General features: G+C 35.0%; 1 protein-coding gene across 4 annotated transcripts in view; it reads right to left on the bottom strand.

The window, feature by feature from the left end:
* Nucleotides 1,702–13,017, bottom strand: part of PDCD6IP (programmed cell death 6 interacting protein) — a 71,074-nt gene continuing 59,758 nt past the window's right edge. For all 4 annotated transcript variants that reach the window (NM_001162429.3, NM_013374.6, XM_011533252.2 and 1 more), the window contains 3 exons: nt 7,276–7,399; nt 5,975–6,162; nt 1,702–5,054 (listed from right to left, as the gene is read on the bottom strand). In NM_001162429.3, the coding sequence (NP_001155901.1) occupies nt 4,880–5,054; nt 5,975–6,162; nt 7,276–7,399 (487 nt within the window). In that variant the 3' untranslated portion in view covers nt 1,702–4,879. The remainder of the gene's footprint in view (nt 5,055–5,974; nt 6,163–7,275; nt 7,400–13,017) is intronic.

Raw genomic sequence — 13,017 nt, 5'->3', positions numbered from 1 at the left:
CCCAGGTTCAAGCGATTCTCCTGCCTCAGCCTCCTGAGTAGCTGGGATTACAGGCGCCCACCACCACACCTGGCTCATTTTTTGTATTTTTAGTAGAGACAGGGTTTCACCATGTTGGCTTAGGCTGGTCTCGAACTCCTGGCCTCAGGTGATCCTCCCACCTCGGCCTCCCAAAGTGCTGGGATTATAGGCGTGAGCCACCGGGCCCAGCCCATCCCCTACTTTTTAAGAAACAACATATGGCTGAGAAGGAAAAAAAGAATATTAATGCTTTCAAAAATTATAGGTAATAAACAATATTTCAAACAACTAGGAAACATAAAAGAACACATAATCCAAGCAATGACAGATATAGAAAATAGAAAGGATAAAATATTTGTATCAGACAAAAATATCAGATCATTTAATTTTACCAAAATTGTTAAACTTCCCTTTTAAATTACTAAAAAAAAAAAAAAGGTTGAGTCAAGTAACTAAATCTAAACATCTAAAACTAAAGCAGGTGCACACATTAGGTTAGAAAACCTGCTAATGCATCCAAAAACAAAACAAGAGTAGTCATATAAAACAGTAGCCGGGTGCAATGGCTCATGCCTATTAGTAATCCTAACACTTTGGGAGGTCGCGGCAGGTGGGTCGCTTGAGCTGAGGAGTTCAAGGCCAGCCTGGGGAACATGGTGAAACCTCCATCTCCACAAAAAAAAAATTAGCTGGGCATGGTGGCAGGTGCTTGTAGTCCCAGTTACTAAAGAGGCTGAGGAGGTTGAATTGACTGAGCCCAGGAGTTTGAGGCTGCAGAGAGCCAAAATAGCACCGCCGCACTCCAACCTGGGCAACAGCGAGAACTCGCCTCAAAAAATAGAATATACTGCAAGATGGAAAAGGGCCACTTCATGTTCACAATAAAGACATACTTGATGAGTGCGAATCATGTGGGCTTCAAAGTGTGTAAAGCTTAAAACAGTTAAAAATATAGGAACACTTAAAAACAATGGTAATAGACTTGAACCTCTTCACCTGTATCACCTGTGTTCATAACTTACGCAACTTTTAAGCAGAAAGGATCGCGGGAGCCACAGAACTGAGAGAAGCCAGGATCCTTTGCACAGCACCAATGAGGAGAAAAGGCAGACAGCTTGGATGTGCCCCAAATTGATAACTTACAAAGGCAAGACCGGTCATTGGGCAGGGACACTGACTGGCAGTAGCCTGTGGTCTGAGGCTCGGTGGCATGAAGCCCTCTGGTTCACAGGCTGTAGTCGGTCTGCTCACAGGGAGTTCCTAAGCCAATCCTGCCCTGTGATAGCAGTAAATACTAAAGCAGGCCAAGCACACAGCTTCTCAGTCATCTTCACTCGGGATGCAGCAGAACCCATCCCCCTTCCCCTCATCAGCTGATGAGTATAGTAATCTTGCTGATCATTTCCAAAAATTAACCTAAAAAGTGGTATTTGAAAAGAATACTCCTAGAGTAAATCACATAAGCAATGAAAAACATGGCCCATCCATGACCGCTAAATTATCAGGTTGCAGGTGTGAAAAAAAAAAAATTTAAACACTATCTTCCTTTTGTAGTCTCATGCATTTAGTCAAAGTGGGTATTTTTTTTACATTTTCCAATTCACCATTTGTCAAAGAAATAATGGAAACTATAAAGCTGAAGAATAAACACTTTAAATAAGAATTCATACTCCAAAGAAGTAAGAATCTTTCAACTTTTATTTCTAGCATACATTCATCTGGACCTTTTTGTTTCTTTACAATGTTCCCCCTAAGATAAATGAATACAATAAAAATATAATCCAACTACCAGCAATGTTTCTAACCAGAAAAGAATCTAAAATCTCTGGTGTGATAATATAGGATTTTTTTAAAAAATATAAACTTCATACCAGAAATAAAGCCTGAATATTCTCTTTCTTTAAAAATATAATTTTTCCTTCTTTGCTCTTCCAAGTAAATCTTAAAATGAACCTGTTCTAGTCTATTTTTAATCTAGCAATTATAACACTACCTAGCAGGGTTTTTTCCTTTATACCTTGTTCTGTACTGTGAATCAACTAATAATTGCAAACGTCTTTAAAAAGTGAGATGCCATTTGGCTGTAGCAAGATTCTTCAAGAGATGCTGAAAATTAAAAAACAAAACACAAAAAATCCCTATTAGCAAACTGAAACCCACTTAACAAATTATCCTGTTTCTGAAATTAGAAAATGTATAAAAGCACTTTTGCAAACTGTAAAGTTCAAATGGAAAACATTTTTTATAATCTGTTTGGACTATAAAGACTGCTGACTGGGACAGAACTTTAGGGACACAAGGCTCTGTGAAATCCATTTTTTTCTGCAACTCCTTAGTTTTGAAGGGGAGGTTTATAAATTGCAAACAAGCTGGGGTATGGATACAGGAATATCTCATAAAGATTGATTGGTTTGTCGTGACATGTGACTGTTTTTCTTAATTGAGAATAAAGACCAAGGGGCACAGGGAGAGTTCTCTTAGATCAATACTTTATACCAGACTGATAAAAATTAGACAGTGTTTTCCCCACTTCTGACTAGTTCCTCTATGCAGAGCTTCATTATTTAAGTACAATCCAGTTTAAAATAGTATTCCAAAGCTCAGCATAAATGGTCTGGGGATGATTTCCTTTCCTTGATTTAGGAAGATAATAAAGCCTAATTATAAATATGGGTACAACACACCTGAATCACAGAGTAGTACCCTTCCAACTCCAAACCAACAGTATGATCCTTAACAGTAATAAAGGGCTGCATTTATTGTGATTGTCTGTGCCCAGACACAGGTGATTAAAAAGAAACCAAAGGATGAGTGAACTGACAAGAGGGAAAGGGTTTGTGTTGCTACATTTAAAAGGTTACACTAACAGAGCCGAGTGAGTCAGGTGTGCTGTGGCAGGATCAGCTGTGGGGGCCTCCTTTCCTAGTTTCTGAATGATCTTCCTGTGGCTCTGTGAGCAGGCCCAGCATGGGGAATGGGCTAAAAGGCTTATACATCTCTTTTGGCCCTCAGATGCACTTACCCTTTTCTTTGGTGCCCTCTTTCCCCAAGAGAATATTCAGGCCAATTTTGCTTTTTTCCTTGTTTCTGCATTAGTAAGACATTATAAACTAGCAACTTGTAATACCTCTAACTCTCACTGTCTTATGTTAGTATAAAGTACCTCAAGTAATAAGAATGTGGAACTTAAATGCCACTTACAGAAGTCAAACAAGCCCATGTCACACTTTGATGAATCCAAAGTATTAAATCTTAGCAACTGATGAAGTAAAAAGCTATTTTTGCTAAGGTTTAACTATTGGACTTTAAACCAACTTTAATATTCCATGAAATCAAAGGTCATTTATATTGAATTAACATGCCTTCATGTTTCCTACACACAACAAAGTTTAAAATATACATATATTTTTAAACCAATTCACTCCCTTTTACAATCATACTTTCATTCGAACATTTAAAATATAAATCCAAACTCAATGAAAACAACAGTGGGACAAGTAACACTATCATTAAAATGAAACAATAATGCAAGAAAAGGTCAGCGTTGAAACTCAGAAAATAAACATAAATAGATTCACTGGAAATCTGCTCATATGCCTAATGTGTTCAGAAATGAACCTCACAAAAAACAGATCCCACTGTGATGTTAGACAACTCATTCCTTTCTCATTTTCTCATTCCATGATGCATGTCTTCACTATTTTTACTGAGGTTTATACAGTGAGTAGATATCCTAATGGCAGAGATTAATATTAAATACATAGCCTATTCCATAATTGGCATATGTTCCCAACCATTGTTTTGTATGCTCCTTGAATTATAAAATACTCCAATCTTTAAGGAAAAAAAATTAAATGGCTTAGATCTATTCATACATATTGGGCATTAAATGTCACTAAGTTAACACAGTAAGGTGGAAAAAGGATGAGAGGGTACAGTAAGTGTTCCCCAAACAATTCCATTACATTATGAAGTATTGCCAATGGCGTATTTATTTTAACCAGGTTATGGGGAAAAAATGCAAGAATTATTACCAGAATTTGCATCAATTTTCTGGAGAAGCTAACAATAAAACATTAAATATACACATTTATTTGTATGTTTATTTGAAGAATCTTTGGTAGCAACTGTTTGTTTCTTCCACATTATAGGACTTTCTAAAATAAATGTCAAAAATCGTTTACTAATCAGCATACGAAAGATAAAGTATGATAATATTCTTTTGATTTCCCTGTAAAACATCCTTGATAATAACTTGTACTATTCATGCACTTAAAAACAGTATCTGTTTAACTTATATACATACAAAATGAGACTAATACCAGAAAAAAAATTAGACAGTAATGAGAATCAATAACAAAACATAACAATGACAACTGTTCTTAAGTAATTTATTTTAAAATTATAAGATTTACAGTGCCTTGATTATGCAAAATAGCATAATGGAAATTAAACCAAATCAATAAACCAAAGAGAAAGAAAACTTAATTTTCTCTAGTATCCATACTTAAACCATCTTTGTAAGTATCTGATGTCCCAACCATGTCTTATGTAGAAAGTATAATCGTTTCAAATGTTTCACTTGCAGGTTTAATTTCTCATTTTCAATTTTTATGAACTGTAATGCAATTTCAAATCCTATTATACCTAGTGTTTATACTGCAACAGCAGCAAATCTCACATGTGTAATCAAATGTGGAACTGGGGCACAGCTTCTAGCTGTAGACAGAAATTATACACTGCATTCAGTCCAGGAGAGTACATTACATTAACCAGAGCGTAGAGTTTAGTACACTTATTGCAGGGTTGGTATTTCTTTCCCTCTGATCTGAATCAGCTGAGCTGCTGAGCAGACATATTACTGCTGTGGATAGTAAGACTGCTGTGGGGGCTGAGGGAAGGGGTATGAAGGCTGCTGGGGTCCCGGGTATGGAGCCTGTCCAGGACTCTGGTGATACACTGGTGGATATGGCATATTATACTGGCCATACGCATAAGGATTATAGCCCATGGGCATGGGCATTTGGCAATACCTGATAGAAGAAAACAGAAAAATCTTGATTGGTAAATCAAATACTAAAAAATAAAACAATAATCATTCTAGAACTACGTTTTTCATGAAAGTCATTTCTATTTTTTAGTCTATTAAAGAACAGTGGAGTGAAAAAAACTGTTTCAAGGCACTTGTCAGAGAAAAGCATTCCTATCCTGTTATTAATTAAAACAAAAGAGTACCAAGTGTTTAATACTATCCAAAAATAAATACTGAAGAAAATAAGATTAAATATTCGAGTATTAAAGAAAGAAAAAAAATGGAGACCCTTCATTTTAACGTGGCAAAACTAGTCATCTAAATACATTCCTCTTCCACAATATTCAATATTCACTGTGATATACATAAATTTACAACTTATAAAGTTCTAATATTTGGCAGACAACATGTACTTACTAAGTAAAATTTAGAGCACATCTTAAAAGGTAGTCAAATGTTTGGATTTTTAAAATTAAGAAATTACCACAGAGATTAACCTTTAAGAAAGTGCAACCCATAATTAGATAAATTTCTATTCAACTGTTTATTAAATGCCAAGTATTCTAAGTATAGGGACGTAAACAAGGCCTTATCAGTTTTGCTATGCTACGCTCAGAAAAGGTACCTGTTTATCACCTAAAGTCCAAGGAAACACCTACTAAACTCTATAATACAGAAAAGATTATTTAATATAAACCCAATATGTAAAATATAAAAACATAAATTTTAAAAGCCTAGGAAATAGCTATCCTATTCATGTAAGTGACCATAACATTATTTTCATTTCTGGATAAGCTGACAGTGTAGCTTATTCATTCATGACACCTCCATTTGGAGAAGGGATGACCCTGTTTTTAACAGGTTAGCCAGAGCCTAGAAACAACATTAGCCAACTTGGGATACACAATGTTGCAGCCTTACCCAGGATATCCTGGATAGGTGGGATAGGGTGGTCCCTGCGCCTGTGGAGGAGGAGCTGAGCCAGGCGTTTGTGATGGAGCTGGCGCAGCAGTCCCAGCCCCCACTGGAGATGGAGCAGTAGCAGAAGGAGCTCGATTTGCTGGAAGCACAGGTGGTGGAGGCCTGGCTGGGGGCTGGGGCTTAGTAGGCTATAAGAAAAAGTCAGCATTGACTATAAAATGTTTCATATTTCTCTCAAATTGCTATTAATTAAAATTAATAAGGACATATGAGAAACTCTAGAATCCAACCAAATATATTTTTAATTCCCATTCTTAAATACCGGCTTATTACTATAGAAATATATCATAGTTGAATAATTTTCCAACCTGTGGAAACTCCATAGCCACTGCTCTTTTCCTGGTGCCTCATATTTAATCATTTACTGCTTCCTCCAGTGGTTGGACATTTGAGGTGGAAGGAAGCAGCACAGGTACTGTTTACTACCATCATCTCCTCCTAGTCCCCAAACTTTACATGAAAAATGTCACACACCAGAAAATTTGTAAAAAATAGTATATAAAATAATCACACATCTACCAATGAAATTCAACAACTATTAACATTTGTCATTTCTGCTTTATCTATAACTACATCCATATATATTTGCAGAATCATTTGAAAGTAAGTTGCAAATTTCATGACACTAGCCCTAAAGACTTCAGCACTCAAGTTCTCATAAGGATATTCTCCTACATAATCACAATACCATTTTCATCCTTAAAAAACTAATGCTATTCCCCAATGTCATCAAATATCCACTCCAAATTCAATTTTCCCCTAATTAACACAAAAAAGCTCATATAGCTATTTTTATAAACCAAAAGCAAATAAAGTTCATATACTGCATTTGATTATAAGGAAACTTTCATCTCTTTTCATCTAGAATATGCCTCTTTTTTAAAAAATCTATGACATTCACTTTTAGAAATGATCAACTCAGTTATTTCATATAAATGTCCCATGTGAAAGATTTGTCCAATTGTTTCCTAATAGCATAATTTAACTTCTTATTTTATCATTTGTTTTATTTGCTATAAACAGAAAGTTTAAGGGCTTGATTACATTCAGGTTAAGCATTTTTTTGTCAAGAATTCTTGAATGATGCTGTGTTCTACATATTGCAAAATATCAGAAGGTTGGTTACCTGATGCAGGTGGTAACCACTAGATCCTTCCTATGTAAATCATGTTTTATCCGTTAGAACAAGTAATCATCGTTAATGTAAAACCTCTGTTTAAAATATTTATTTGCCTACTAACCGGCATGGTTCTTGGCGCTGGAGTTGGAGGAGTTGGTGCATGTCCTCCTGCTGGTGAGGACTGATACGCAGGTGTAGGAATTGAAGGAGCACTAGGTTCTCTGGCAATGCTTTGTTGCAAGTCCCTTATCAAAGACAGAGTGTTAAAAATTAACATGATAGAAAAAAATTAACACACATAAAATATCAGCTTTTCTTTTCTTCATACATGAAACATAGAAAATGGATTCCAAACAATGATGGTATTTTAAAATATACTACATTTCAAATTAGTACAGTGACTATGGAAAACAGTATGGAGGTCCCTCAAAAAACTAAAACTAGATCTACAATATGATCCAACAATCCCACTGCTGGGTATATATCCTAAAGAAAGGATATCCATATACTGAAGAGATATCTGTATTCCCATGTTTATTGCAGCACTTCCAACAGCCAAAATATGAATGCAACCTAAGTGTCCATCAGCAGATAAATGGATATAGTGTAGTATATATACACCATGGAATATTATTCAGCCATAAAAAATATAATGAAATTCTGTCATTTGCAGCAACATGGATGGAACTGGAGGCCATCATGATAAGTGAAATAAGCCAGGCACAGAAAGACAAATATTGCATGTTCTCCTCCATATGTGTGAGCTAAAAACAAGGAGACAGAGTAGAATGATGGTTACTAGAGTCAAGAAAGAGTAGGGGGTGGGGATGAAGAGAGGGTGGATAATAGGTACAAAAATACAGTCAGAGAGAATAAATAAGTTCTAGTGTTTAATAGCAGCATAGGGTGATGATAGTTAATGATAATTTATTGTATATTTCAAAATAGCTAGAAGATTTGGAATGTTCCCAACACAAAGAAATGATAAACGTTTGAGATGAATATCCTAATTGCCTTGATTTGATTATTATGCATTGTATTCATGTATCAAAATATCACATGTGCCCCACAAATATGTGATGAATATCCTAATTACCCTGATTTGATTATTACACATTGTATTCATGATCAAAGTATCACATGTACCCCATAATATGTATAATTATTTATCAATATAACAAAAACTGAAAAAAACAAAATATACTACATTTTTATTCTTGACTAGAATCTAAATCCTCTTTCTTCCTATTGTTTAATAAAATGAAGTTGTATCTTTTTTATATTTCTGAAGACTGGGGGAAAAAGTAAACATTTTCAGAGATCACAGTTACAGCTAGAGTAAGAAACGTGTCAAACTGGGCAAGTAATCCTAAAAGACTGCCCACCCTCTAATAAAAGGTAGTCCCTGGATTTAAAAAACTCCTAACATCATCTATCTAAAAGTTATCAGAAAACTACAGTGACTCATAGTTATGTAGCTAATGTTTTAATCACTATATCAGTGTTTATACAAAATAAAACAGGTGAAAAGGCTAACCTTTTATGCAAACCATTATGCAAATTTCTAGATAAAAACTTCCTGAAGATATTCAAAGAAATGTGGCGTTGAAATATTTTATATTAAAAGATAACACATCACCTGTCACTAAGATAAACTCATGAAAGATATATTGCTGAAAATACTATTACAATTTAGTATTAAATATTAGAAAATTCTGTCTCCTCTAACAGTAAATTGAAATTTATCCCAAAATCACACTAAACAATACCTAAGGTAAAATGCACTCCATGTAATACATGATGTCAATCATCTTTTCACTGCACTGATTAACGTACACAAAGAAGTAAATATGACATGTCCCAAAACATCTGAGACAGTACCTTTTGCCCTGATTTAACAATTAACAGCAAAGCCCCACACTGTCCGCATCCAACCTTCCCTCTCAAGAAGGGCCCCAGTCACTCCAGACATAAAGAAAACTAGTATACATTCATCAAAAAAAAAAAACAAAACTACTTCTTAAGTAAATAACTGCTTATAAAATAAATAAGTTTTTAATCAATATCAAAATTCTAAAAGGCCAGATTTTGAAATATCTAAAATATATACGTATATTATAAAGCTTTAACACAATACCTTTCTTTTCCTTTGATAAACTCTAGGGATGGTTGCAGTAAATAACACATTTATAGAGCAAATGATAATTTCCTAGCCACTTATAAAAGATATAAATCAATGCTATTAAATAAAATCAATAATGTAAAAGAGCAAAAAGATATAAAATAAAATGCCACTAGTACTATGCCCAACAACCTGACAGTAGTATTCAAACCATTAGTCAAAAGAAAGTAAAGCTCAGAGTAAAATATTCATTCTTCTTAAACGCTTTAAACTTCTGATGAAAGATTTCAATGAAAACAGAAATTAAAAAGCAAAGCCTCCAGCTAATAAGTATATAAAAAGGACATATTAGTCATCAGGAAAATGAAAAATTAAAATCATACAATGAGATAATACTACAAACCCAGCAGAATAGCTAAGGGCAAAAATGTGGAGCAACCAGGACTCTCATATATTGCTAGGAGGAATATAAATTAGTACAATCACGTTGGAAAACTATTTGACAATATCAACTGAGCATACACACATATCCTTTGACCTCGATATATACCCAACAGCACTGCATATAACATGCTCACCAAAAGCATGTACTGTCTAATACAGTAACCATTAGCCACACATGACTATCAAACATCTGAAATGTGGCTACTCTGAATTGAGATGTGTTGTAAGTATAAAATACATATTAAGCCGGGCTCGGTGGCTCACGCCTGTAATCCCAGCACTTTGGGAGGCCGAGGCGGGTGGATCAGGAGGTCAGGAGTTCAAGACCAGTCTGGCCAAGATGGTGAAACCCGTCTCTACTAAAAATACAAAAATTAGCTGGGCTTGGTGGTGGGCGCTTGTAATCCCAGCTACTCGGGAGGCTGAGGCAGAGAATTGCTTGAACCCAGGAGGCGGAGGTTGCAGTGAGCCGAGATCGTGCCACTGCACTCCAGCCTGAGCGACAGAGCAAGACTCCATCTCACAAAAAAAAAAAAATACAGATTAGATTTCTAAGACTTAGTGTGAAAAAAAGTAAAATATCTCTCATTTGTAATTTTACATTGATTATATGTTAAAATAATACTTTGGACATACTGGGTTAAATGAAATATTGAAATTAATTTCACCTGTTTTTTTTTTTTTAACTACGGCTACTACAAATTTTACATTTTCAATTGCATATGTCACTGCATAGTACTTCACCATATAGATGTAGTTTTATTTAATTAACCAGAACCAGACATTTGACTTGTTTCCATATTTTTACTGCTACCAGCAATACTGGACAGCAGTGATTTACAACATTCATGCCAGCACTATTTATAAAAGCTCAAAACTGGCAACTACTCAAAATATTCAACAGTAGAATAAATAACTTGTACATTCACATAATAAAATATATGCAGAAATGAGAATAAAAGATCTACAAATACACACAACTATACTGATGAATCTCACAAATATAATGTAGAATAAAAGCCAGTCATGGAAGAGTACATAATATGTGATTCTATTTATATACAATGCAAAAACAGGAGAAAGTAATCTATGTTCTTACAAGTTAGGATAGCGGTTGCCCTGGAAAAGAAAGATAAAGACTGACTGACTGGGTGGATGCATTAACAATGCTTTTAGGGTGCTGAGAATTTTCTGTGTATTGATTTAAGTGCTGGTTGCCTGGGTGTACGCAGTTTGTGAACATTCAACAAGATACACACTTATGTATACTTTTCCGGTATACATTATATCCAGTAAGATTTCAAAGGATTTTGGCCTTCAGTATTAACAACGACTTTAACAAAATAAACTCTCAGATATTCAAAAGCTAATATTATTATATGGCCTACTTTTCCATCTTTCATTCACCTTTCAATCACTGAGCTGAAAATACTTGACAAGTGTAAATAAAATATATACTTGTTTACAACAAACCTGATTTTTAAATTAGATATATGAAATATAAAATATTTTAAATGACGATATTCCAATCTTTCTTCCTTAGAATATCCAGAGCTTCCTTGTGCGTAAACAAGCCAATTTCTATATTTGTTATTTTCTTCCTTTTTACACAAAACATACTCTACACACTGTTCTGTGTCTTTTTACCATAACTATCTTGGAGATCTTTCCATATCAGTAAATTGAAAACACCCTGATTTTTAAAATAGCTGCACAGCATTTCACTATACAAGTATAGCTTTATTTCACCAGCCCTGGTCACTTTGTTTCTACTTTTTTACTGCTATTTGCAATGTAGAAATGAATAAGCTCATAAATATGTCATTTCTAGCATATTCTAATATATCCTCAGAATAGACTCCCAAAAACAGAATGGCTGGATTAAAGGATGTTTGAATTTGCAGTCTTATTATTCTTTACAGCTAAAATGCCCAACACAAGGATTGCACCATTGGGTATTCTCACGGCAATGTATGAAATCTATTTCTCCAACATGTGACAACAAAGCATATTATCAAACTTTCAGATTCTTGCCAATCTGAAAAATATTACTTCAGACTAATTTTAATTTGTATTTTATAATGAATGAGGGTATTCATTTTTTTTCATTTATTTAAGAGCCATTTGTATTTCCTTGTCTGCAAAATTCTGTTTGCGTCTTCTCCTCAGTTTTCTATTGGGTTTTCTTCTCGTTCACTTCTAGGAGTTCTTTTCTAAATAAAGTAAATTAGCCTTTTGCCTGTGAATAAGTTTCAAATATTGGATTCCCAATTTGTCATATCCTGACTCTGTTTATCATATTTCTATGAGAAACTTATTCTTTTCTTTTTTTTTAATGGCTTCTGGATTTTAAGTAGGAGTTATTAGATCCTGCTCATCCCAGCTTTATTACGGAATTCTCCTCCATTCTATTTTACACCTTATATTTCATTTACAAATTTCAAGTTTGGTCCACTCAGAACTTACTCTGGTATAAAGATAACTTTTATTTTCTAAATGGCTGGGCAGTTGTCCACCTCTTCTGGTTGGCTGAAGATCTTTTACACTAAATTCACGTATGTATTTGAATCTATTTCTATTTTCTATTCTGTCTTTGTCTAATCATGTACCAGTACCACTGTGTTTTAATTAAATATGGTATTATATACCTTAATATCTGGTAGAACTAGTATTCCTTCACTACTCTTTTTATTGTTTTCCTGGCTGACCTTGTTTCTTTTTCTACTTGAACTTTAGGATCAACTTGTCTAATTCCAAATGAAAAGCTGCTGATTTTTTTTAATCAAAAGCATGTTTGCATATCAAAAGCATGTTTGCATATCAAAAGCATATGAATGCATGTTTATTTCTTTTGTTTTGTTTTGTTTTTGTTTTTGAGACAGAGTCTCACTCTGTTGCCCAGGCTGGAGTACAGTGGTGCAATCTCAGCTCACTGCAAGCTCCGCCTCCCGGGTTCACGCCATTCTCCTGTCTCAGCCTCTCGAGTAGCTGGGATTACAGGCGCCCGCCACCACGCCCAGCTAGTTTTTTGTATTTTTAGTAGAGACGGGGTTTCACCGTGTTAGCCAGGATGGTCTCGATCTCCTGACCTCGTGATCCGCCCGCCTCAGCCTCCCAAAGTGCTGGGATTTCAGGCGTGAGCCACCGCGCCTGGCCGCATATGTTTATTTCTTTATTTATGTTTGTTATTAGAGATAGGGTCTCACTGTTGCCCAGACTGGAGTACAGTGGCTATTTACGGTACAATCATAGCGCACTACAACCTAGAACTCTAGGGCTCAAACCATCCTCCCACTT

Source organism: Homo sapiens, chromosome 3, assembly GCF_000001405.40.
Source record: "Homo sapiens chromosome 3, GRCh38.p14 Primary Assembly".
In the NCBI taxonomy this organism is placed as follows: Eukaryota; Metazoa; Chordata; class Mammalia; order Primates; family Hominidae; genus Homo; species Homo sapiens.
Note: the sequence above shows the minus strand (reverse complement) of the source record. Positions and strands in the feature narration are given on the sequence as shown.